Source organism: Homo sapiens, chromosome 2 (assembly GCF_000001405.40).
Source record: "Homo sapiens chromosome 2, GRCh38.p14 Primary Assembly".
Taxonomy (NCBI): Eukaryota; Metazoa; Chordata; class Mammalia; order Primates; family Hominidae; genus Homo; species Homo sapiens.
The window spans coordinates 235,831,774-235,859,418 of record NC_000002.12 but is presented as its reverse complement, the minus strand read 5'-3'; the positions used below and the strand labels follow the sequence as shown (position 1 = coordinate 235,859,418).

The 27,645-nt window shown below is 47.0% G+C and overlaps 1 protein-coding gene across 5 annotated transcripts in view, besides 2 other annotated features; it reads right to left on the bottom strand.

Moving 5' to 3' along the window:
* Positions 1–27,645, bottom strand: part of AGAP1 (ArfGAP with GTPase domain, ankyrin repeat and PH domain 1) — a 637,751-nt gene that overhangs the window by 272,375 nt on the left and 337,731 nt on the right. The window contains exon 10 of one of the 5 annotated variants that reach the window (NM_001244888.2): positions 6,212–6,733. The exons of the other annotated variants lie outside the window; for them this stretch is intronic. Within the exon in view, the coding sequence (NP_001231817.1) occupies positions 6,566–6,733 (168 nt within the window). The 3' untranslated portion in view covers positions 6,212–6,565. Of the gene's footprint in view, positions 1–6,211; positions 6,734–27,645 lie in introns of those variants that run through there. 5 annotated transcript variants of the gene reach the window in all.
* Positions 3,584–4,783: an enhancer, noted in NCBI's record as "P300/CBP strongly-dependent group 1 enhancer chr2:236763280-236764479 (GRCh37/hg19 assembly coordinates)". NCBI's record gives its function as "activates an origin of replication core promoter dependent on BRD2, BRD4, P300/CBP, MED14 and CDK7 cofactors, with strong dependence on P300/CBP, by STARR-seq in HCT116 cells {active_cell/tissue: HCT116}" and the evidence as "EXISTENCE:reporter gene assay evidence [ECO:0000049][PMID:35650434]".
* Positions 9,595–10,095: an enhancer, noted in NCBI's record as "H3K4me1 hESC enhancer chr2:236757968-236758468 (GRCh37/hg19 assembly coordinates)". NCBI's record gives its function as "activates a minimal SCP1, AML or CMV promoter by ChIP-STARR-seq in naive H9 embryonic stem cells {active_cell/tissue: H9 hESC(naive)}" and the evidence as "EXISTENCE:reporter gene assay evidence [ECO:0000049][PMID:30033119]".

The following is a 27,645-nucleotide window of genomic DNA, read 5'->3' as shown; positions in this document are numbered from 1 at the left end:
GAACAAAAGGCGGGGGGGGGGGGGGAGGTTGTGGGGGGAGAGTTGCAGATTTCAGGATGGGGGTTCTCACCGGGCCAGTAATGGCCATTTCCCCACAACAACAGTGAATGGTTCTCTGGCCTTAGCAAACAATTCCTTCCATTTAACTTCTCTGACAACTTCTTATGGGTGGAGAGGGAGTTAACAAAAGAAACAATATGTATTAAAAAAAAAATGCAAGGTGCCCAGAGTACGGCTAATGGAATTTGATGCTGGCTTTAATTTTAATGAAGAAAGTTGCCAGTAGCAACAAAACTGTCAGCAGCCGCCGAGCACCATTAATAAAGATCGAGACAACATTAGTGCCCGGCACCAGTACAAAGGGTTCCCCTTGCTTCATGCTGTGCTAAATTGGCTGCCCAATTTTTCTTAAGTGTCCATTCTATTTAGAAGACAATTTATTAATTTTTGCCATTCATTGTCAGTTGACAGGCCATCATTTTGTAGCCAGAATTTTAGATGAAAACTAATTGAAAAGACTGGCAGTATTTATGAGGGGTATTATTTGTCAATTACAGTGGCAAATACTCCTTGCTACCACCAACTTTGATGCCCCTGATCTCTGGGTGTGAGCACTGTTACTGCTGGCATTAAAATATGAGTAAGCCTCTCCCTGCTCATCAATTTCACAGGCATGTAGAGAAACCACCTTTCATGTTCTAGGGACCTTTCATGGTAGACGGATACATTATAACTTTTGACAAAGAGGAAGTACACATCAATTAATAATCACAGACAATCATGCATACAAAATATAATTCATTGTGAACTAGTTCATATTTTTTTTTATCATCTCTCAGTAACAGTTATTAGTTAAAAGGTCTGTTTCCTAAATTCTGTATGGTTTTAAAACATTTTCCCCCTAACCTACTGCATCTTAAACTCAAACATGTACAAACAGGATATATACGTTCTGCCCATCAATTTGCCAACTTGAAAGCTCAATGTCTTATCTTAAATAAAACAGGCTGACATTTTTATAAGTAAAAATGTTTTTAATCAGTAAGCAGCCCTTAGAAACTGTGCAACTAAAAAGTTTGATAAATATACTTCTCTAAAAATGTTATGTTCATGTTCTATAGCATTATTCTTACATTTTTTAACTAACGCTACCAAAACCGTTGATAAAATGCATCTTAGCAATGAATACTAATCTGCTTACTAACTAAAGAAAAATTTACTGAATTACGATTTTATACGCCCAACTTAACTTCCTTTATGTGGTAATGTTGATGATGGAATTCATTAAAGATTGCTATATAGTCTGGATTATGTTCAATTTGAATTTATACAAAGTTAGAGATTTTAGCAATTAAGATACACATTCTCCCGAAGTGGTGATACTAAATTAAATGCTGTACCGTCATGGTGTATCTCATAAACTCTCCAGTCCTGTACCAGAAAAATGAAAATCCCCCAAGATCACCCAGGAAGCAGCCCTGGGTATAAGCCTCACACTCCCAACATGGGCAGACAGTGTGGCAAAAAACATGGCACAGGGCGATAGGCCTGCTTCTGCAGGCTCTGGTTCTTCCAGCGCTTTTACTGGAAAACTCTTTATACCCAGTCAATTCCCAAATGACGACTGTACTACATTCTTGCAAATCAGTTACATAAGAATGCTTATTATTAGCTGCTTCCAGTCTTTCCTCATCACTAGTTGACTTTGAATTTGCTGCTATACAAAAGCTAGTTGGCAAACCGAGGAGGTGCTCTTCTGTGTCATTTCTGTTATGGTGTATATGTGGAGAAACAGACAATGTATACATGTGACATGCAATGCATCCATGTTCTTGGTGTATCCACTTCTGCAGGTTCTGTTTAAAAAGGAACAGCTGCAATCAGGGTGGGAAGCTGCTCAACGGACATGCACACACACTGTGAGCAACGGGAGGGTCGGGGTCAGGACCCTGCAAGGCAGGAACCTGTGTCTGAGGTCTCCTTGGGGACGCTCGTCAAAGGATCTACGACAGCGGCCCCCAACCTTTTTGGCACCAGGGACCAGTTTCCTGGAAGACAATTTTTCCACGGATAGGGAGGAGGGATGGTTTTCAGGGTGAAACTGTTCCACCTTAGATCATCGGGCACTAGATTCTCATAAGGAGTGTGCGTCCTAGATCCCTTGCATGTGCCGTTCTCAATAGGGTTCGCACTTCTGTGAGAATCTAATGCCTCCGCTGATCTGACGGGAGGCAGCGCTCAGGCAGTAATGCTCACTCACTCGCCGCTCACCTCTTGCTGTGTGGCCCGGTTCCTAACAGGCCACAGACTGGTACCAGGCTGCCATCTGGGAGTGGATGACTCCTGCTCTAAAGTGTAGCATCTCAGGCTCACCACCTGCGTCTCCATGGAGATCACTTACACAAATCCCGGCCCATTAAATACAGTGTGGCTGAGTGTGTGTGTCTTCATGTTTCCCTACAGCGGCATTCTTTCAGGCACTGGTCTCACATCTACCACGTCCAACCGGACCGCAGCGTGGGAACCAAGCGTGCTCTCAGACACCTGAGCTCACGACAGTGGCTGGCACTTGCAGGAGGCCTTCAGGTCTGAGTGTCAAGCAGGGAACACTGGCTGAAGTTTTGAAATTTCATGACAACTTGGGCAAGGGACATTTATGGTGGTTGTCCTACATCCAACTCCTGTGCTCATGGCCAGGACCTGTGACTCTGCATGGGCAGGTGACCCTTTCCCATCCTGGCCTGTGTACTCTGGGTCAACATGTGGCCTAGGCCAAGGCAATGAGCCCCAGTCACAGGAACTGGTTCAGTACTGGACAGGCAGATGGTCCACACAGAGCTGCTCACGACTGATGAGGACATTAACGGACCTTCGGTTTGAGTCTACTGCTGGCTTAGATGTGGAAAGGACAGGAACCTCAAGGGCCCAAGTTTAAGCACACAGGTCATGAGAATGTACAGATCCTGATGGCAGCCCCAACCCAGAGGGATCGGACTCAGGCTATCCTCCTCATGGTGCTGTTTGGGGTGACACCCCTGCTTCTATGAGTCAGAGAATCCCTTCCTTACTGACACCAAGCGAATCACATTTTCTTATATGGAAAACCCAAACAATTCTGGGTGAATCACTGGGTACAAGAACAAACTAAAGAGAGGAAGCTATAGCTTCAGTGATGCTAACTTGAGATGAACATTTAAAAATATTCTCGGCCGGGTGCGGTGGCTCACGCCTGTAATCCCAGCAATTTGGGAGGCCGAGGCGAGTGGCTCACAAGGTCAGGAGTTCAGGACCAGCCTGGCCAATATGATGAAACCCCGCCTCTACTAAAAATACAAAAATTAGCCAGGTGTGGTGGTAGATGCTTGCAGTTCCAGCTACTCGAGAGGCCGAGGTAGGAGAATCACTTGAACCCAGGAGGCAGAAGTTGCAGTGAGCCGAGATCATGCCATTGCACTCCAGCCTGGGTGACAGAGCGAGACTCCATCTCAAAAGAAAATAATAATAATAATGATAATAATAATATTCTCAGTACTTCTGAGACAAGGCTGACCCCCTGGGAATGCAGTAGCCTCCGTGCATCTAGAGACCTCATAGGGTAAACAAGGCATTTCCTCTAAGGCATGAGCCTCAAGGACGTGTCCCCAATCACCCACTTGTCACTGTCACCCATTTACCAACACCCAGTCTCCAATTCAAACAAATATCCTCTGACTTGAATTCAGTGGAGCTGCTGCTCAGCCTCTCGGTCTTCCCAGCACAGTGGAGATAAGAGAATGAGATGAGTAGCTGTGTATTTATAATATCAAAATCAAAAGTTCAGGGCAACGAATCTAAAGGAAAGAATGATACCCTATATTTAAAGCAGAAATTGCTCGATTTTAAATTTACTATAACTCAACTTTTATGACTTCAAAAACATACTGAACGTAACACAGTTTAGAATTTGGTTTGAAAAATGATAAATCTGTAACTGAATGAATAAGGACATCTAAAGAAACTTTAGCAATTATCTTTAAATGTAGTATAGCAAAGAGAGCTTAGAATTTCAGTTGACTTTTAGCTTTGAATAAATCTACTGATGATTAATTTTGACATGCCTGTCACACTACTCACTCCCTGGAAAATCAAAGTAACCATTTTCCAGGTAGACTTTTGTTACTGATCACAGGGATGACCTCACGCTTCCATTTCCGTGCGCCACCCCAAGGGATGGCAGCACATGCGTCACCACGCCGATTTTCCACCTGGGGCCTGATGAGGCTGGTTTGTTGAACATCACAGACAAATACCTTCAGCTTTTTTTGCCTTTAAACCTTTTCTACTTTTCTGTTCCTTCACGAAATAAGGGTCCATTAGTCACCCTAGTTTAAAATAACTGGCATTAAGATTTCAGAAGTAACAAATACAAGGAGGCAGACCTCATGGCGGGCCCTCCTCTGAAGCACCCTCCCTCTCACAAAGTCTACGTGACGAAGTCAGAGCTGACCAAACGTCCTGGGCTCCTGCAGCAGAAACGATCTACACTTCTGAGGACACTGTACAGGATGCAGACTCCAAAACTAAGAATGAATAAAGAATTGTTTCTCATTTGCTCCATTAACTCCTCTATGAAAATAATACTAATAATAAACAAGCGAAACCAGGGGAAACAGCCACTTTTGAGCTCGTGCCATGACAGTACCTATCACTCCACAATTCACTGCCATCAGCAACTGCCACTTAACAGATAAAGCAAGTCAAGCTCGGAGAGTAAGAAACATCCCCAAGTCCACCACTGGTAAGCGGACGCGGCAGCCCCAGGCTCCAAGCTGGTCTGGGTTTAAAGCCTCTGGTTTCCTATAATGCGCTGAAATGGGCCTGCTGTAGAGCTGGCTTTGCCTTTGTAGCCACAATAGCAGCTGAGGCTGGAATGAGGCAGCCATCCTCCCCCACCTCTGTGATGAAGGGCAAATAGCCAGCAGGGAGGTGAGCTGGCAGGAGTGGCCCATCTCATGCCAAGCTGAGCTAGAGACAGGCCTCACAGGTCCCATCTATCGGGGAGAAAAAGAGGGAAGGAGAGCAGGCCCATAGGGAGCCAACAGGACCACAGCCCACGTTCAGTTGGATGCGGGGGAGGAGCGGGGTCTACTCCATGCAATATTCTTTCTCCATGTGACCTTGAACAAGGCCTAAGTTTCTCAGCTGTGACAGGAGTTGTCAACACTTGATCACCGGTTTTCAAATTGGGTTTGCTGGAGGTGACCCCACGAGCCCGGGAAGACAAGGGGAGGCTGAGGGGGAGTGCCTGTCTCAACACAGCGGCTCCACTCTCTCTAGCTGAGTATTTGGATTTTATCCAGTCATATAAGGCGGGGTCATCCCATGAGCCTACGCATCAACTTCCTTTTTCTACACTCAAAGAAAGCCTGGAACGGACATATTTACCATATTTGCTTCATTAAAAACTTGGAATTGTTAGGTATGGCTCAATTATGGCATCTAGTATCTCCACATGGGAGGCTGACAACAAGTCTGCAATGAATGACTAGGGACTGTCGCTAGTAACAGTACTTCCCAAGTTAATTCAAGGTATAGCCTACACTTAAAACCAAAACAAGCTAGCGACCATCCTTTCCCCCATCCACACACACCAGTCTGTTCTCAGCCTACTTCACAAAAATGACCTCATTTGTTCTACAAATTTCAGCACTTGTAGATGCACTTATCATACTTTACTCCCTAAATGAGGCTGAATAATATATTCATCTGATTAAATTTTCATTAACATCCAAAATCACTGTTCAGTCATATTGTCTGATAAAACATTCTGGCCTTAAGTCCCCAAATAATTACCATAGGGTGGTCTGGAAAAGTGGTATCTAGTCTTGCTAACAAAGAAGAAACAAAACTTCCATTTAATCTATCTATTATAAAACACTGACTGTAGAAGAGGAAAAGAAAGGCTCACATCTTCCTATCTGCCGCATCCCTAGGGTATTGAGAGATTTATCTGTACCTGCCTGGGGGTTAATTAGAAAGGAACAACTAAAATCACAAGGAAGTTGACATTATTTCCAACTCAGTACTAAGAAAGTCACAACATTCCCTGTTCCTAAAACAATTCCTCACTCAACCTGCCTGAGTCAGATATTTCAAATCTTGAAGCAGAGTAGGGGGAGCCATTTTACCCCGTTTTTCTCTCATCCAGTCTATAAAACGCAGTCAAGACAGATCCGCTCAATCTTGGATTTTAATGTTTTATGTTTCTACCACTGCTTGTACCCAAAACATGCAAAGCGCCAGTAAATGTTTTTTTCTTTAAAAAAAGGTTCCTCAAAGAAAGAGCGTAAACGCTCATTGATTTCCTTCCTTTGTGGACTGAATTGCCCGCTATAGAAATTAAGGGGTCTTTTGTGAGTTGCCGAACTTTCTGGAGGAGCGCTCCATTTCTCCAGCTCTCCCTCCTGTAACCTCTTTGTTGGAAGGTGTCAAAGGTCTATCAGAGATGCGCTGAAGTCAGGACAAACAGCAGCGGCCTGCAAGCTATCGGCCGATCTGGAGTTCACCTCTATGTTAACTCCCACCGCTAATTCATCATGGCCCCGGACAGCTGGGCTGATTGTGGGCCTTCAGCACAATGCGGGCTGGTCTGACCACCCCTCGGCCCTGGCCAGGGGGAGGACTGACGGGCACGGGCTCCAGCAGGCCTGAGATAAGTGCTGGCTGTCAGTGCAAGGACAAAGAAGGGCAGGCCCTGGGGAGAGAAAGGAGATAAAAAAAATTCTTCACAACTGCTTTATCTGATGAGGGTTATGGCTAATTAATTATAAACTCAATTACCTAACCCTTACTTCAGCAGTCTCTATTCATTAAGAGATAAAACTTGACTGACGGCTAACTTTCTCTCGCACACATACACACACAGCATGCTTGCTTCAATTTGTACTCGCAAACACCCAATTTCCTAAAAAGATCTCCAAAGGCACCCATACCTGTCAGGCGCCTGTCAAAAGGCGGCCTGTTTCGGGGTTCCCCCCCCTTTCCACCCCAAGCCCCCTCCGCGCACGCTAGGAGGGCCCTGCTCCCTCGCTGGGCGCTGGCATTAAAAAGCAAACGCAGACGCAGACAATAGGCATTATGCACGCCCGGGCCCTTCTCCGCTGCCTCGCTTGTCTCTGCTGCATTTTAAGTGAATCTTTTAATTTGGGTGCTCAAATTGGGTAATCGGCTACAGAACCGTTTTTCCTCTTCCCGAGTAAATCTTCCCAATCAGAAACGGGGGAAAAATGAGCACTCAGGCATATATTAGTTTTAAATATACATTTCCATTTCCCCCCTAAATTCTGGACAGGCCTGACCTTCTTTTCAGTTCCTGGCACCTTGTTTCAGAGTCGGCAGCAGCTCACAGGCCTGTTTCATCAATGGGCTCTATTCAGCGGAGGTTGTTAATCTCTTTCACCCTCTCTCCGCTTTGCCCACTTTAATGTATTTTCATGTCTATAAGTTCTTTTAATAAGCTGGGAGGGTCTGGGAGAGAAATACTTCAGGTTTCCTTACTGCTTGTCGCCAAAATTACCTCTGGCGTACTGCAGATGAGACGTGCGAGGTGTGCATCAAAACACTGGGTTTTATTTCTTTTCCTAACAGGAGGCTACCAAAGCCCCCAGATTTAATTTCAGCTCAATTATTTTTATGGCGAGCAGTCAAGAGGCGCTTCCCCGTCCCCTTCTTCTTCTTTCTGTTCATGGGCTCCTTGCACTTGCACTTGTATTTCCGGGTGTTCTGGGTTCAGGGCCACACACACGGAGATAAGCCTAGAGTATGCTGCCGCGGGCATCCTGGCGCTCGCCGGCTGCAAACACTCCAAGGGGGGAGATACCCAAGGGACATTGGTAGCAAGTAACTGCAAGAACACACAATACACTTTGCTTTAAAAAAAAAATTCTCTGAAACGAGGGCCATTTTCCCATCACTCGCCTGCGGCACATGGTGCGTTGGTGGACGGGTGAAGTTTAGGGAAAGGGGGTGACATGCGGACACCTGGGGCCAAGCTGCTTCTGCCCTTCCCAGGAGATGGCCTTGCTTAGCATCTTCACCATTCCATGGCCTCCCAGCCCAAACCCCATGTCTGTAGTGGAGCCACGTTTCCCTCCCAGCTCCGACCGAGCAGCAGGAGCGCCAGGTGGGCACCGATGGTCTATATTCAGCACTGACAGCCTGGACAGGGCCCTCTCAGGTCCACTGGCTCCTTGCACTCTAGGCCAGGCTGTGAGCTCAGAGGTCCTGGTAACACTGGCTGCTGTGTCCAAGGCTAACACTGGGCTGTGCCTAGAAACCAGGTCTCCTGGATCCTTTGCAGCTCAGCGCCCTTCCTGTGGGAGAGTCCTGTGAACACCAACCCCATGAACAGCCTGCCTGGGAGCCCCCTCTGTAGGTTGTGCAGGGAGGCTGTGTACAGTGGGAGGATGCTGGGCCAGGTCCCGGAACAGCCATTCCCTTGCTAAACCCCTTGGGCAGGTTAGTCAGCCCCTGCCCACCACAGACCACAATCCCCCAGATGGACTTGGACCTGGAAACCCATTGCTCCCTGGAATGCACTTGACATGAGTGGGTTGTGGGGTGGGCCATGGAATTCCCCAACTTTGAAGTACAGTCATCATGCTTTCAAATCTCAAATGTGTGTGAAGTCACCACCCCCAATGATGGGATGGCATAAAGACGAAGGGTGACTAGAAACAGGAAAACTTTTTGCAAAAGCAGCTATTTTTGTGAGAATACACAACAGCTCATTCCAAAATGTCCTAAAGTACTTCTTTGTAAAGCCCTACCTGCCAGCAGCCTTAGGAAACCAAGAAGCAACACCGCACCCTCATTTCCCAAGTGAGGCCTCTGAAATCAGAGCTGCTCAGAGCGACTTCTCCACCAAGGTGCATGGACACTAATGCGGGGTGGCAGAGCCAGCCGGCTGATGTCCTGCCAGGGTGCATAATGCAGAGGTGCTAGGACCAAGGGGACCAAGGAGACCACATCAGGCACTGCCCCAGGGGAGATGGCTCCTTTCAGAACTACAGAAAGGCCACGCATTAGTAGAGCAAGATTGGAAGAGAGGTAGAGGCCAGTCACTTGTGGCTATGGAGATTTCCATTGCATTTAGATATAACAGACCACCTCCCACTGCTTCAGCTGCTTTTCTGCAGAGTTGGAACACGCACATCTTCCTTCCAGAATCTCCATTCCTTTGGCTCAACTGCAGCCTCTGTGTTTGCTAACGTCGTCCGGTTACTAACCCACGGTTTGCCGGAATTTGTCCACAGCACTGTTAAGAGGTGCTGTGGGCTGCAGAGCCCTGGGGCCAGGACACCGTGGGGTGGGTGGGAAAGGCAGGTGCCAGGCCAGACCTGCTCAGGAGGCATCAATGCTCCTCCCTACCTTTCCTCTGCCCTGTCCTCCATGGAAGAGGAAGAGGCTATGAAGAAGGCTGAGAGGGAAAAGTGAGAAAGGCAGGACCAAGAAAGAGTCGTGGTGAGAGGGAGAGGGGAGCATGTCAGGGTGTGAGTGGCTTGTTCCACACATGTGTGAGATGGGGACAGGAGCACTGGGCGCCCAGACCATGCTCGTCTTCCTCCCCTCCAGGGGCGGGAAGCAGAGTGGACGGTGGAGCAGGGAAAGGCCATCTGTCCTGGAGAAGTGAGGGCTTGCCCTAGCGGCCATGAGGAAGGGAGAAGGGCCAGGCGAGGGGCTGGGTGAGGCTGGACACTCCATGCCCAGCAGGTGGCAACCCTTATCCAGGCCTAGCATCCCCGCAGCATGGAGAAGTCGTGGCTGCAGAGGCTGAGCTCTGAGCGTACAGGCATAAGGGGGCCCGGGCTTCTGCTCACTCCAGAAACCCTCCAGAGTCACACATGAAAACCTGCTCTCAAACTGTGATGTTTTGCAAACCTGTCCTCCACTGCAGGAGAGGTCACTGCCTGAAAACTTAACATTAGCTTGTTTCTATCATCTACACCACTCCGATAGAGAAATCACTTTTACATTTGATTTCGAACAATGAATACTTGGAGAGACATTCACAAAAAAACCAGTTAATTATAGTAATATGTGTACTCATAATTGGCCCTCGTTGGCCAATAGAAGGAAGACACTTGCAACTTTTCCCAGGAAATTATATTCTAAATCCTTCACGAGTTGGACCTCGTCCTTTTCTGAGAAAACTTGATGGCGGTCTTTAGTATTCACTGGCATAATTAGGACTGCAGTTAATTTCATTAAATTCTCTTGCTGCTAAATGAAGCAGATTATGAGACATCTTTTATTGCAAGGCGTGAAATTACAGCCTGTCAGCTGCCAATGGTGGGGTGAAACTAATGAATTACAGGGTAAATAACACCAGAATTAACCAGCCAATTTAACATAGTGCCAAGGAACAAAGTCATTTCTACTTAGAGCTTTAAGGAACAACATGGCCAGGATACCTCCAAAGCACACGGACGGACAGGGAAATCAGTCTTGGGATACTGACAACCCTTAACACTGAGATGGGCAGGAAGGAGCAACAACAAAGCAGCCCCGAATACAATTCCTAAAACCTTCCCCACTATCAGAAAAGCATTCAGAGCCCAAATGAGAGAAACTCCTCAAATACTTACTAGCTGGGGGGAAAAGTTAAAGCACTAAATGATCAAGGTGCAACTGTGTGTTCTCACCTGATCTTTCTGTTAAAAGGACGAGGAAAATCATCTGGTTATCTGGGTGCTGTGTGATTTACATTTCAACACACACAGCAGGGTTTGGAAAATGTAAAAGTACTCTGAAAATAGTACCTTCCGAGCAAACTAAATTACCAGTATTATTCTCGAGAGTAATGATCTCACCATGGACATCACAATCAATGGATTATTAGTTTCACTGTGAATTATTTCCAGTTTTTGCTAAACCCAAATCTTTGTTGAGACAATAATTATTTCCCTCTTTTTCTTAAGCATGTTCTGATATGGTACAGGCAGCTGAATAGCTCCCAGTGTTAGAAAGAAGAGATTTGCCTCTGAGTAGGACCTTGTTCCTTATTCATTTACCTTGCATGGACTCTATCCCAGGTACTGTGCTGGGTGTGGGTGGAGTGATGAGGGCACAGGCCAATCCCTAAAGAGGCTCAACACTGGCAGGTGGCTCTAATAGGTGGACGGACAGATGCAGTTTAGTGAAAGCTAGGCCAAGATAGGACCATGCCCAGGGCACTGTGAGGAGCCAGGCAAGGGACCTTAACCTGGAGTGGGGACGGCTGTATGAGCCATGGCTTATGGAAACAGCATCCTCAGGATGATGGCGAGTGACAGAGAGTGTAACCGGTGGGATACTCCCTGTCTAGGGCACCCAGAAACCAAGCAGTGCCTAGAAAAAGGTATCACTCAGGAGGCTGTGAATGGCATTTGCTTATAGAACTGACCAAAAGCTTTGTTATGCCAAAGGTTTTAATTCTTCCTCATTGTATTAACCAGACTGTGAAAACATAGGACTTTATAACCCTGGTGTGAGAAGTGGCTTCCAAGGCCGCCTGGTAAGATCCATCATGTAAAACACAAGCCAGGAACAGGAGCACTTCCTGGGGATTCTGCCATCCTTGGTCAAGAAACGGAAAACGGAGCCCCAGGGAGCTTGGCTTGGGCTGCACCTTCACATGAGATACACGTTAGGCGTCGTGTACGAGAGCCACTGTCGTGGCAAACAAGCACAGAAAGGCGCCCGTTTCAGGATCTACAGACGGTACTGAAATAGAAATGATCTCTTCAGTAACACCAGCTGTACTGCTTGAGTGATGAATAGTCAAAATATTAAAAATGTTTCTTATTTGATAAAATGACTCAGATTAATTTACTATGGCTAGAACAGTTTTACGATAAACTTGATTCATTTTAACCCTGTCATATCTTTTCAAAGATGTAATTTTCTATACAAAATGAACTTCAACCTAAATAATTTATGAAGTGGTTCACATTACTTATGAATTTAATATTGAGTATGTACACTGTGTAACAACATCATTTTCATTGTGAATCATTTTTCTTTTAGACAAAATTGAAAGCAAGAGTCAGTGAGTAGAAAGAGCATTCTGTATTTTGGGATAGAGTCAAAAGCCAGAATGGCCATACATGAAAAAGATGGCCGTTTTTCAGTCCCAGTTTCCTTTCTAAAGCAGTATTTTTTCTGAACCAAACCATCTTTTCTTCCTTAGTTTGCTATTCTGTTAATGAAACCACCATTCTTACAGGCACCCATTCTCGAAACCTAAAGTCTCATGAGATGTTCTACCTTTAAGCCTCTATATTCAAAAAGTCGCTGAGTCTTGGAGTGCTTGCTGGTCTACCTGTGTGACTGCCACGGTGGCCTCTGCACCACCCTCCTAGCATTTTGCTCAACATGTCGAACCTGGGACATGTCAAGCAATCCACAGCTCTTAACCTCTTAGGATGGGGAAGAGGGGGAGGCCACAGGCCCTCTTCAAAACTGTGGAACCAGACCAGGCGCAGTGGCTCATGCCTGTCATCCCAGCACTTTGGGAGGCCAAGGCAGGAGGACTGCTTGAGACCAGGAGTTCCAGACCAGCCTGGGACACATAGTGAGACCCTGTTCTCTACAAAAAAAGCCAGGCATGGTGGAGTATGCTTGTAGTCCTAGCTACTGGGGAGGCTGGGGTTAGAGGATCACTTGAGCCCAGGAGTTAGAGGCTGCAGTGAGCTGTGATTATGCCACTGCACTCCAGCCTGGGCTTTGTCTCTAAAAACAACAACAAAAAATTATTTAATAAATAAATAGGTTGGGCACAGTGGGTCACGCCTGTAATACTAGTACTTTTACAGGCTGAGGTGGGATGATCACTTGAGGTCAGGAGTTTGAGACCAGCCTGGCCAAAATGGTAAAACCCCGTCTCTACTAAAAAAAAAACCAAAAATTAGCCAGGCATCACGGTGCCTGCTTGTAATCCCAGCTACTCAGGAGGCTGAGGCAGAATAATCGCTTGAACTGGGGAGGTGGAGGTCGCAGTCAGCTGAGATCATCGCACCACTGCACTCCAGCCTGGGTGACAGAGTGAGATTCTGTCAATAAATAAATAATAAATAAATAACCCATAGAACCTCTTCTGAGAAGATGTACATGCAAACTCTTACATTCCATTTTGCATTTCACAAGGGTCTATAAACCTCAGGGTAAGAATTTACAAATGACTTTCTTTAAAATCTTCTGTAACTTCTGAGTCCTAGATCGAAATTTCCAACAGTCCAGTAAATGATTTACAAGGATGTCTCTTTCAAACTCAATGACTTATGGAGAAAAAGACATCTAAATATACAATCTCAGTAAAATATGGTAACTGCAATGGTGAGAAGTTTGAGAATATAGTGAAATTAAAATTTTTTTTTAATTTAGTATTTTTAAAATTTAAGCCTCATCCAGGAGGTCTGGAGGGCCTGGGAAAGATTTCAACCCTGTGGCTGCAGCTGAAGGGTGAGTGGAGGGGCCACTCTGGGGGTGCAGGAAGGAGGGCATATCTGAGGGCTACAGACTGAAGGTTGGAAACCAGTGAGGAGGCCCAAACACACATCCAGGCCCCAAACCACATGCATGACTCCTTCGGAGGGCACGACGGGACAGATGCTCAGGAAGAAAGGGAAGAAGGACTTGGTGACCATCTCGGAGCAGCTGGAGAAGGTTAATAGATGACATCAGGAATAGTCCCGGCTGGTGACTTGGGTGACTCCGTGGATGTCACCGAGAGGCAAAGACAAGCAGATTATACCAGAAAACATACACTGAGAAATTAAAAAGCAGATCGGGGGGGGGGTCAGGAAAGGAATAACTGGAAGGAAAGGAATAACTGGAAGGAAAGGTCTGCTGTCGACCGGCTGGGCTGTCGGTGGATAGTGGTGACCCCACAGCTAAGAATGGGGTGTCCTCAGGAAGCCCAGGGTTCGCCCAGCTGGCTGAACAATGCTCATTCCCCCATTCCGTTTGCTGACTCAGGAACTCAGGGTATCATATGATTTTCTGCTTCCATGTCTGCAAAATCTGCACTCCCAGAAGCCAGCATGGTGTTGGATTTTGCTCTGGGGGTCCCCTGAGCACACCATACATGTGGTCTGAGCTGGATTAGTTACAGACTCAGCCTCTAGACTCCTGTGCAGGGGTCTGGCTGTCTCCCCTGTACTTGCTGCTGGGCCTTTGTGAGATCCTGGGATGGCTGGGCTGCTGCTCCCAGATTTCCTTGACATGTGTGGCTCTTGGGACTAAGCTTCAGCCCCATCTACAGTTCTCTGTTTGAGCGAACGGCTAAACAGGATGACACAGGACTTGTTAGGAGGCTGCCTTGTTGACTGTTCAATTCAGCCATGTGGAGCCCCACTGCTGGGCCGGGACCCCACTAGGTCCTGGGGACAAGGAACAGCAAACTATAATTGCTGCTCATACAAAAATCAGAGTCTAGTGGGGGAGGCGGCAAAGGTAATAAATTATCATTACCCAGTGTGATGGGTGCTACAATGTTTGTCTTACAGAAGGCCATCTTGGGAATGAAGGGATGAGGCACAGAAAAGAGGCACCCCCTCGGGCCAGGGAGAGGAAAGCCAGGAAGACTTCTGAGGGGGCGACAGCACCAACGCTATGTCTTGGACCAGCAGGACCAGCCAGGTGGATGAGTGATGGATGGAAGAACACTGTGTGCCCAGGTTCGGAGAGGAGGCCACTCAGATGCCTAGGGACTTGGGTGTTGGGAGTGGATGAGACAGAAGCTGGGACAGGGAGGCAGACATCGGTCAGGGGGAGCCTTAAATGCCGTGCCAAGCTGCAGGAGCTTCGTGGGAAGGTCAGGGGGTGGGTTTAATGCAGAGATGCCATCTTGGTGACTTGGGGACTATTTCTAGTCTGCAGAAGCATTTTCATCAGCCCCCAAAAGTGCATAATAGATTTTTGGAATCAGTTGCCAACATTTAAAAATGATAAAATTTTATATGCAAATCCAAATTCCTGGCTTTCCTTCAACACCAGGACCATCCGGGAACACGAGGCCACTGAGGCTGAGGAGGGCGCAAGTGAGGGACGGCTGCCCCTGTGGGTGGGAGCTGCCCTCCCTGTTCACCCAGACCCTTGCCCCCTCCAAACCCACTCATGACAAGTACCTGCCTGGCTCCTGCATTCAAGTTAAACATTTTAATTCGTTGTTTAGAACATTCAAGATGGACAGGGAGTGGAGATGAGAGCCACTAGCTGAGCTCCAGACCGGCAGGGGAGGCCTGTGGGGGCAAGCCGAGGACTCTCACAGGCAGACAATGGATGGCCCAGAAGGCTTTCAGCAGGAAAGACTTCATTAGCAGTGGGGAGGACAGACTCAATGGGGCCAAGACTGAGCCTGGGTGGTCCTTTGGGGACTCCTGCCAGATTCCAAGAGGGAGAGGTTCAAGCTCTGAGCTGGGGCAGCGGGCAAGGTCCTGAGTGACACTGATGACAATGTGAGGCCATGCTGGGAAGCAGGCTCCTTTCTCGGCCAGCTCCACACCACTGGCGGCCCAGGAGGCTGCCTGGAAGAAGATTCTGTGCCAAGTGTGGACACAAAAGGAAAAGAAAATGTGGCAGTGACTCCCGATGGTGGCCACTGGCACCCCAGCTCTATGCTGTCCACTGACATCTTGGAAAAGTCCAGTGGGGAGGTCCTGCCGGGAGCTAGGCTGATGAGATGAAAAAGATCCCAGTGGCTACACATCTAGGGAGAGCTGGCCTTAAAACAGAGATCTCAGATGCAGGGCGGAGGGGAGCCCAGGTGCAGAAAGACCACAGATGATGGGGAAGAGAAGGCAAGTGCTGCTGGCCAAGACAGGGCACCTAGAGGCTGCAAATGGGGAACGAAGGGAGGCGGAGGCATCCCACAGCAGAAAGAGTGCTGTGCAGGAGGAGCTGGACTGCTTTTCTGGAAATGGTAACATTGCTCCCTGGCCCCAGAAAATACCTTTCCAGGAAGAAAGTGGGGCCCAACCAGACCGTGCCATGCAATAAGCAGACACCGAGGAGGAATTCTGAAATGAACTCAAAGAAAGGAAGAGAAAGGGACACAGCGTGGGACAGAGGGAGGGAAGGAAAGAATTGTGTGGGTGAGAAAGGGGAGGCAGCAAGCAGTGAGACCCAGGGGGCTGGAAGGCCGCAGCCGAAGCTCAGGTCCTCCCGAAGACCACTCTCTAAGAAGGAGGGCTGGTGATGGGTTCTGGGAGCTGGGGGTACAGGGAGCCTGCAGGGATGAACAGCGACTTCACAGGCAGATTTGGTCTCAAAGGGCTGCAGGGTGAAAAACCGACAAGGGTGGCAACAGGACAATGAGCACTTCTGTTTCATTATGAAGACCCGTGTCCTCAACTTCACATCAAATCTCACACGGGCCGGGCACGGCAGCTAACGCCTGTAACTCCAGCACTTTGGGAGGCCGAGGCGGGCCGATCACCTGAGGTCAGGAGTTCAAGACCATCCTGCCTAACATGGTGAAACCCCATCTCTACCAAAAATACAAAATTAGCTGGGCATGGTGGCACATGCCTATAATCCCAGCTAGTCGGGAGGCTGAGGCAGAAGAATCACTTGAACCTGGGAGGCAGAGGTTGCAGTGAACCAAGACCGTGCCACTGCACTCGGGCCTGGGTGACAGAGTGAGACTCCATCTCAAAAAAACAAAACAAAACAAAAAAAACAAACCTGACACATGGGATGAAAACTTCAGTTTATAGAATTCATAGGGTAAGAAACTCAAATCCACATGGAGGCTTGCTACAGGTGGGTCTTTTTTGGCACGTCCCAAAGGATCCCTTCTCAAAGTATTAGGTTTAAATTCATAGGATTACAAAAGAACCAATCATATCAAAATACAGTCACCAAAATATAAGCAACGCCTGTGGCTGGGTAATAAGCACACTGCTTTATTAATGCACTGAGACCCAGTGGCAGACCTAGTACCTTCCATTGCCAAACGGTGACCAGAGAAAACAACCTATTCAATTATCTGGGACAACGGCAATGCGCTGTGAACATGTCTGTGATTTTGAGGGTGGCAAAGTCACAGGTTCTGCTAACAAAACACCACTGTGGATCGTTGCCTACATTCATATCTGAAGGAAACGTTAACTTTCAGTCGAAGTCAGTGGAAATACGAATGAATTTCCCCCCAGCCACATTCGCGGACCCCTGAATTCTATCTACAGAACCACAGTGAAGAACTCTTGCTCCAGAGCACGGAGTCTGTGCTCCAGAACTAAGAAACCAGGAGCGGAGGAAGCCCAACGCCAGCAGGCTGGGGAGAGGGGCAGCCATGGAGTGAGCCTGGGCTTCCAACGAGAGGCCCTCCTCCACATGAGCGACATCCCGCAGGAAGCAGCAGGTGAAAACCTTAGTATCCCAGCGTCTGCATGGAGTGGTGACGGCAAGATTTCTTCTAAACACGGAGACACATCAAAGTTCCTTAACTCACTAATGAGCGTGTAGGGAAGACTTCCCAGAGCTTCAGGGGAAGAGAGAGAGCAGCAGGATACGGGTGAGGAAACAGGAAATCAGGAGGAAATGCGGCCTGGATGAGCCTATAGGCAGGAATATAACTTATGCTCTCAGCAACAACCAAGGAAAACAGAAACTCAGAGCTGTCTGGAAGGAATCGTCCCTTGGTGAAAATTAAATGCATTCATAACATAAAGCCAAATTACAATGCCTAACATGTACGAAGTGTTTGACAAATACAGGTAATTATTTATGAATTGCTAAATGATAAGCTACAATTTTTCTTTTTTCAGACATGGTCTTGCTCTCTCACAGCTCACACTGGAGTGCAGTGGCGAGATCACAGTTCACTGCAGCCTCAACCTCCCTAGGCTCAGGTGATCCTTCTACCTCAGCCTCCAGAGTAGCTGGGACCACAGGTGCACACCACCATGCCTGGCTAATCTGTTTATTTGTTGTACAGATGGGGCCTCACTATGTTGCCCAGGCTGGTATAGAACTCCTGGGGTCAAGGGATCCACTCGCCTTGGCCTCCTACAGTGCGGGGATTAGTCGTGAGCCACCGCATCAGGCCCGTAAGCTACTAACTTAAATCAAATGTACGTCTACTCTAGGGTTTCCTAGTGAGCGGCGACTGTTGGTAACTTCTTTCTGGAACAGTTCGCCACTGTATCATTTATTATTCCAAGCGAATCGATAACTTCTAGACCTGTTCCTCCCTTTAGCATCACAGTTGGGCCTCTCCTAGGCGGTGTCTACACTTGCTGTGCTGTGGCTCCCTCCTGCTCATCGTTCATAGCCCTGCCGCCGCTTCTGCTCCATCATTTCCCTGATGTCATCAAAGACCCCTCCATCCCACAAGCCAATGGACATGCTGTAGTCCTTTTCCTACTTTATCTCCCTCTTTCAAAAGGCAAGTTCTTTTTTGTTCTCCTAGGAGAACAGTCTCTCAAGTTTCTTTCCCGCTTCTCTGGTCCTGTTTGCTTTCTGGGGATTCTGCCTTTGTCCCTCCTAAGACCACCAGTGGTCCTTAGCTCTCATTGCACCAAATTCCTGGATCTCACACTCTCTCATGTCTTCAATGGCTATTTCTGTATGATTCCCAAATACATACCTTCAGCACAAGTGTCCCTCATTTATAAAAAAAAAAAAAACTCTTCTTTCTCCTTCATCCTCCACATCGAATCAACCTGTCCATCGGTCCTATCTATTCTACTTTCCGAAAGCCTCCAGATATGTCTTCTCCTTTCCATTCCTGCAGCCCCCAACTCTGAGAGCCCACCAGGCTCTCTCTGGGAATGCTGCTCTACCGACCACCTCCTGCCTGGGCTCCTGCCCTCCAACAGCCTCCATTCTGCAGCCAGCATGGCCCTTCTGAAGTACAACATGGTACCGCTAGGACAACACGGACCCACGAGTATTGAGATCTGACCCACCACAGTGCATGGCTTCTAAAGGGAGAAGTATAGAAAAGGAGGCTAAGGAAGAGGCTGTTTCTAACACTTTCTGGGCAAAGGTGAGAACAAGGAGAGGAACAGCCTTGTCTTCTCTGCCCCTACATAAATGTCGCCGTGTTATGTCTCTAAGCCACTTTACTTTAATGGTCACTGCAATGTCCACTGAAGCCATCAGAATGGACAGCGGCTGAAGCCATCAGAATGGACAGCGGCTGAAGCCATCAGAATGCACAGAGGCTGAAGCCATCAGAATGGACAGCAGCTTGCTGTCATGAAAGACTGGTTGTCAACAGGTGTCACCTCTGGAGGGAACCTGCCCTAACTCCCCTAACTGTAAGGCCAGGAGGGGAAAAACAGAAACCACAGGCTGTGGGAAGATCACAATATGACCTGATTACAAACATTCCCATCAAGGGTTTTGAATAAACAGCTAATACACTCTTAGATGGAAAATTATTTTCCTCATAAATTATTTCAGATTTTAATTTTCCCCTTTTCTGGGTATGCTGCCTCCCTTCATTGACTTTCTCATTTTAACAGAAGTTCGTAATTCTTTATAAGAGTCTCTCATCCTGTGTTGGTGACATCTATTTCTGAGTGGAAATCAGGCTACCAAAATGTCTTTCAAATGATAATCTGCAAATAAAAAACCATTTCATGTATGAAAAGGCAAGTACTCCTCCTGTTCCCACATCTCCTGGAAAGGAGGTACACGTAGGAGCCCCTTTCCTCTGCCTAATGTTCTTCTAAAGTGGTTGTTCTTAAGGGGGTGGAAACGAACTCGCTGGGAAAATGGATTCTCAACAAATCTGCCCTCCCCAGGAAAGCCCCTTCCCAAAGCCTAGAGTCTGGCTCCTCCAACATCACGTTTTGTTTTTAAGATGGGGTCTTGCTCTGTCGCCCAGGCTGGAGTGCAGCAGTGCGATCATAGCTCACTGCAGCCTTGAGCTCCTGGCCTCCCGAAGTGCTGAGATTAGAGGCATGAGCTACTGTGCCCGGCTTGCTTTTTGCTTTTTTAAGCTCTCCAGGTGATTCTGATGAACACCTTTAAATGGGAAACACTAGAGAATAGATGCCCGGGCCCCACCCAGGCCCAATGAGTGTGACTCTGACCCTCCGTGGACGGAGTGTGTGCGTGTGTATGTGTGCCTGCACGCCCACACCCGTGGGCATATCCAGGGTTGAAAATCACTGGTCCAACAGCTTTGGGATCTCCTTGTGCCATATTTAAATGGAAAAGCACAGGTTTGTGTTCTCAGACTTTCTATTTCAAACTCATTCTATTTTTTGCAAGTTTTTTCCATAAAAGATTGCTTCACAGTAAATGCAGACTCAGGCCCCTGGGGAGAGCAGTGGCATGGGCATGGATTCTGATGCTCAGACCTCGGTCACATGAAATATCCGACAGAGTTGATGTTCTAAACACCAACACACCAGCAATTTATCTCTTGAATAAACCTCACGTACACCCGCGTTAGCTTAATGAATGGCTTTATGTTTCCAACTGAAATTCCCGAGCGGCAACATTTCACCAGAAAGTCTTAGGCACTGGATTTTTCACTTGTAAGTCCAAAAAGTTGTGTTCACTTCTAATTTATGCTTCTTAAAAAAAAAAAGTCTTTAATCAATTAGGGTCAGAGAGAGAGGCTTTCTGTTCACTAAATGTCATCTGTAGAAAATACTAGAAGGTTGGGGATGGATGTAACACATGGAAAGCGAAGCAAATGATCCCTTCGGGGTTCCCCTGGCACATTCTAGTGCATACCTAGTACAGTCAGATCTGCACAGCAGTTACTGAGACAAGCCTGACTTTCTTGCTAGGTTGTGAGTTTTTAAAAGTGTAGACTGTATCTCACTAAATCAATTTCCTTTTTATAACTACTGATGGTGGCTAATACATACATATGGTCAGTAAATGCTGGCTGGTACAATACGTAGTTAATCACATCATAATATTTTGGAGCAAATTATTTTGAATTCTTCAGATTTTCTGAACACTTACCCCTGGGAAAAATTCTAAGGAGGAATAAATGCTTCAGAAAGCACAGTGCCTCTTCTTCCTCCTACCATATGAAATGTTACAGAAACTGTATATACACATACTTTTAGCAAAATCACTTTGGAGGCAAAATATTCACCAATGGCAAGCCTGTTATTTATCAATAGTGCCATTTACTTACATTTGTGAGATGGCTTGATTGTCAATTAAATGTGTTAAACAAACTACAGCTTTGTAAAGTAACCCTGGCATTCCCTCTTTTCTTTTTTTGGGGGGGTGGGGGGACACAGTCTCACTCTGCCACCCAGGCTGGAGTGCAGTGGCACAATCTCTGCTCGCTGCAACCTCCGCCTCTTGGGTTCACGTGATTCTCTTGCTTCAGTGTCCCAAGTAGCTGGGACTACATGTGCACACCACGACGCCCAGCTAAGTTTTTTTGTGTTTTTAGTAAAGATGGGGTTTCACCATGGTGGCCAGGCTGGTCTCATACTCCTGACCTCAGGTGATCTACCCACCTCAGCCTCCCAAAGTGCTGGGACTACAGGTGTGAGCCACCACCCCCGGCTCTGACATTCCCTCTTAGCCTTTATTAAGGGAGCCTGTACTCCCTTATCTATTCTATTTTTAAGCTTAATTTTTTTCTAACATTTATCTGGAATTAACAGTAATAAATTTATTGATGAGAAAAGAGACTCTCCTCCCATATGGAGTTACTATGACCTAATAAGGTTTAATGTCTAGTGTTTACATGTGGTTACTTTCACAGGAATACAGAGATCATGACAATAGTAACTTATTTAGTGAGCTGTTGTTATATGCCACCTCCTTTACTGGTAGACTCCATCATCTTATTAATCCACCAACAACCCTGGGGAAGAGGGTTGTTCTATCATCCTCATTCTGCACCTGAGTTAACTGAGGTTCAAGAGGTCTAGGGGTTTGCCTGAGGCTCACAGCTGGCAAGTAGGGTCTCCTTCCATGGCTTAGGGCCCTGGACCTAGCAGCCCTCCCCACCTTCCCAGCTGTTCTGACCCTGAACATCAGTGTCAGGGCTCAGGCCAACAACTGTGTATCTGGATCCTTTAGAGTAAACGTTCCCTCTCAGGAAAGTACTCAGTATTACTTTAATGTAACCGCTGTTAATCATATTTAGCCTAAACCTTTCAAAAAAAAACCCTTGAAGGCTGGGTGCAGTGGCTCATGCCTATAATCCCAGCACTTTGGGAGGCCGAGGTGGGCGGATCACCTGAGGTCAGGAGTTCAAGACCAGCCTGACCAACATAGAGAAAGCCTGTCTCTACTAAAAATACAAAATTAGCCAGGCGTGGTGTTGCATGCCTGTAATCCCAGCTACTTGGGAGGCTGAGGCAGGAGAATCTCTTGAACCCCGGAGGCGGAGGTTGCGGTAAGCTGAGATTGCGCCACTGCACTCCAGACCGGGCAACAAGAGCAAAACTCCGTCTCAACCCCCTCCCACAACCCCCCCAACCCAACAAAAAACCCTTGAACTCTCCATCCAGCTGCCTGAGTTGTGATCTCCAGTTTTACACCTGCATTGTGAATCACCTAGAAAGTTAACTGTGAATGTAAATGGCACCAGTGTAACCCGTTCCTCCTGTTCTGTCTGTGCCCCTGTGGCTCTGGCCTGGGTCATAGTTCTCTATCTCGAGGAGGGAGCTTTAGAAAACATACCAGGAACTTGATTCTTCAGGGCTGTCTCCATCTTCTCCCGCTCCTTGAGAAGAGTGGATGAAGGAGCCCTGGACTTTTGGAATCACCCACTTAAACTGGTTAACTTTAAATGCCTGCCCCCTGAAGCATGACACAGATCAACACGGTTTGAAATCTGAGAACCCAAGAGGAGAAAAAGTGTGACAGACACCAGATTTCCACTTCCCGGCTAAGCGCCTTGCAGCAGGCTGGCTGAGACACTGACTTCGATATCACAGTGTGAACCTGTACTTAAGTGACTGGGTTCTGAAGCAACCCCAGTCACGAGTGCAGCTTTCAAAAGTCAGCAGCATTCCCACAAGGGAGTGGATGCATTTCCTACAGGACCACTTGTTGGTGTTTCTCCTCTATCGGCCCCCAAAGGATTCTGCAGGGCCATCACCAGCACTCCCGGCCACCTGCTGCAGTGCTCTAATTTGAGTATTACTCACTCAATATTGCTTTTGATCGCTGTACCTTTACCAAAGAATTAAGGTAATGGAAAATTTATGGCAATATTTATAGCCATCAAAAGTTTGCTTCATTCAAAAGCCGGCTAAAGGGCTTTAGACCTGTGCTGTTCAGTTTACTCTTTTGATTGCTTTTCCACTATGTAAATCAATTTGTTAATGTTCCTTACAAAATGCATGAGCCAGTTATACTGACAAACACACAAAGCTCATTTGTAATTAGCAGTTAATTAGTAAGAAGGAACAGATGCTGTTAGAGTTTCAGCAGGCGAACAGGTTCTGTAAACAATGCTTATAAATCTAAATGAATTTATTAACCACAATACAACTGTCAACATTTTGCTGGCAACCATACAAAATATGGCGGAATCCCCAAAATGTCATTACAATGTATTAATAATCACGGTGACAGCCGGAGCCTCTCCAGTCAGTGGTTGGCTCTTGTTAGCCGCCTTCTTTGTCTAAGAAGCAGTATCAAAATCATTACTTTCTACCTTAATCTTTGATACACACTTATTAGTAAACTACACGAGCAAAGCTTAACATGATACAAACTTTTTGCAATGGAGACACGATTTTGTTGTAAAGTGCCCAGCACAGGGCTAAGCACCAAAGTCCCAGCCATCTCCAGGAACTCAGTGTCCATGGAGAGCCAGATATGAACCCCTTGTCCTCCTCGGAAAAGCTTACACAACGTGCCAGCTACTTTAACAAAGTAATGGACAAAGTGCTAAGAGGCCCACAGGGTGGGGCAGTGGGCAACTTACACCTCAGATGAATAAGAATGGTTACACAAGAGAGGGGCTACATGAGCAACATCTGAAAAGATGACAAGTTTACAAAACACAGACGTAGATGAAGGAAGAAAAACGCTCCAAGCTGAGGAGCCTCTCTGCCAGGTGTGGCAGCACAAGATACACTGTGTATTTGAAAACCAAGAAAGTTGATGGCTGGGAGCTCTGGGGAGACTATCTGAGACCAGACCAGGGTTGGGGTGTACAGGCTCTGACACCTTCCAAGGGTTATAAACATTTTGGTGCAGGCCATGGGGAGCCACTGAAGATTGCAACTGAAGGAGTGACAAAATCCAGCTGGCACTTACTGAAAGCTACCTCTGAGCTCAGCGTGGGAAACGCATGCCCGGGGAACACACTGAGGGCACCTGTCCATCCAGTGAGGCTACTGTGCAATCGGGGAGAGCAAAAGTAGAGAATCGGGAACGGGGGAGGTGTGAGGCCGAGGGGCGAGGATGCCAAGACTTTAAGCGAGACTCCCTGCTCTGGTTTCTGAAGTCATTCCTGTCCACTCCAACTAACGAATCACATGTTCTCGTGATGTTAGCAAAATGCTTCCGCAAGTTTTCTGCATAGAGTCTGTTCCACCTGCGTGGCGTGATTAAGACAGGCTCTCCCTATGGCAGAGGGGCCTCATCCTCCACCACTAGACCCGAGCCTCTAAGGGCCTGGATATTCCACACATGCGCCCAGAAGTCAACCTCACTTTCCACATCCACCTTTCTCCGGATGCCTGTCTAACTTCGGAGACTCTCGCTCTTGCTGACCTTTTATTTAAATGGCATTTTCCTATCCTCTCACGGGGACCTCGCAGGGACCTCCTTTCTAATGGTCTGCTAAGTGAACAACTGGTGAAAATGAATGTGAACTCCAGTGGATGGTACCCAAAAAACTGACATTCCAGGTAAAATATTTTCTCAAGGCAGGCATGGAATATGTAAATTAAGAGCCATAATTATGGGTTATGCTGCAGAGGAGGACAGGGCTCTGCCCTCCTGCTGCTCACAGACCGGGCTCTGTGGCCTGGGTGGGTGCACGAGGACAGGACGCAGCGGGGGAAGCAGTTATTCCAGCAGGCAGGGACAGAGGATGAACCAGGATACACCCTTTGAAAGGACAGAAGGCATATCTGAATCTGCAGTGTGATCTTGTCCCCATGTTCTGTCTGACACTGGTGTGTCCCTATGAAATAAAAGCCTGCACCTCATACTATGCGGAAGAACATGCAGAGACACAAACCCCATGGCCAGCACACCTCTGTGTACCTGTGGAAGTAGCTAAAGAAAACCTGGAACTTTTCTCCCACAAGGCACCACATGGGGCGCCCATCTGACCACGGTGATCACGCTGAGAACTAACCATCAGCTGTTCCAACCGGGCAAATGAGAACTCAGTGTGCCCGTGGACTGCATAGAGACACAGCACTGGATTTCGCCAGACTGGCCTACATGGAGGGGGCTGGCTCAACTAGGATGACAGTTAACATGTCAATACTGGACAAAGAGCCAGTGCTGCTACTGGCTTTTTTTTTTTTTACAAAAAAAATGTGAGTTTTACAAAATATGTGAGATAATTAGTGGGTCATGAAATTACTTTAGTGAGCTGCAACCAGAGCTTTAAAAAAAAAAAAAAAAAAACCAGATTGGAGGATTGGAGTGAGATGCACTTAGGATCATTTCATAGAACATTTGTTTCAGTTATACACATGTATTCATAAACATGCACACATGTAAGTGTGTGATCCCATTTTATAACCATATTTGTAGTGGGATCCCATTTGATAAATATCTTTAAAGGTTTACCAGTTATTGTTCCATTCATTCATTCGGGATATATTTCTTGAGCACCTTTTATGACATTCACTGTAACGAAAAGTCAAGATTTCTACCCACATGGAAGCCAGGATAGGTGGGATCCAGAGTGACATTAGCAAGCACTCTGAGGAGGGGGCGGGGTGATGAGGAGAGTCAAGGTGAGCATGAGGGCCTTGGAGAGTGGGGGTGGGTGGTTTAGGTGTTTCAGAGAGAGTGAACTTGAACAGGGGTGCAAACTATGGGGATAACCACTTTCATCCTGGAGTACTGGCATTAAGGGGTGACTTCTACGTTTTTGTCCATGTACATCTTCTAATTTTGCTACAGCAAGCAGGTATGATTTTTCTAAGTTTCTAAAATAATCCTGCCCTGTCCCTTCCTTCCTGCTCATTTGGCCACGTGTGGTCCCGCTCCCGTGCCTACGCCAGCCTCTGTCGTGGCCCTGGCATCACTCAGCACGGCGGCAGGCCGACGGTGCTTCCACAGCACTGCTCCAATGGAGAGCGCCTGCAGCACCCAACAGCCTGCTTGCTGCCTGCACCCTCGGGTCCTGCCAGTGCCCCTCCAGAGCCAGCTGCTCTCCGGCTTGTCTCTTCTACCATGCTCCCTGGCTCACCGGCCCCCTCCAGGTCTTGTTTCCTTGTGATGATGTACATGCCCTGGCCATCAGATGTCACACAGTCTCAGAGCCAAAGGCCCTGGTCCTCGGTCAGGGCAGTGGCAGAGGATACTAGCTGCTTTGGGGCTGCCAGTCTCCTGTTGTACACTCATGAAGCAGGGGAGAGACCAGCCTCCTTCTGGCAGCTAGGCTCTCCCACCCTCTCTCTCACACACATGGTATTGATCCATGGGATCTGGGTGCCAGCTGCCCACCTGCCTTCTAGTCTGTGGGTTTGAACATCCCTTCACTCCCAAGGCTCAGCCAGGCTTGGTTTGCACGTGGTCACTTCAGCCAATAAGCACAGCTGCCAACAGGCAACGACTTCCCTAGCTGTTAATTACAGATGTTATTAGCACTGACACAGGATGGGGAGAATTATCATTCATAAGAACTTCACAGATTCCTGGATGCTTATTAGCTGCAATGAAGTCTAGAATGTCTACAATATATAACTTATAAAATGTCACCCATTCTACATTTCATACAATGTATAAAAGTGCTTTTAAGAACTGTATATGCTCCTAAGCAATTATCTCATCGGAAGAGTTGATGATTTTGAGGATGTGCTCACTCAGAAGGTTTCACAGTGTAGAAATTGTTGAAATTAATTTTATCAAACTGTAAGGAAAATGCTAATGATATGTTACAGGCAAAATGAAGCCCAAGACCTACCTAAACAACATATCAATAAGCTGGAGAACCTTGAAGGAGAACAATTATTAGGAGGGAAAAGAAGAAAGATCAAGAAAACGAGAAGACAAGCTACAGACTGGGAGAAAATATCTATAAAAAACACATCTGAAAAGGAATATTATCCAAAACATACAAAGAACCCTTAAAATCAACAATAAGAAAGTGAACAACTCAATTAAAAAATGAGCAGAAGATCTGAACAGAAACCTCACCAAAGACGACCTACAGATGGCAAATAAACACATGAAAAGATGCTCCACATTATATGTCATTAGGTAACTGCAAATGAAAATGACCAGGGGATACCACTATACACACATTAGAATGGCCAAAGTCTAACACTGACAACACCAAGTGCTGACAGGATGTGGAGAAACAGAAACTCTCATCCATTGCTGGTGGAAATAAAAAGTGGTACAGCTACTCTGGAAGACTGTTTGGCAGTTTCCTGCAAAACTGAAAACATTCTTACCATACAATCTAGCAATCATGTTCTTTGGTATTTACACAAATGAGCTGAAAACTTAGGTCCACACAAAAACCTGCACCCA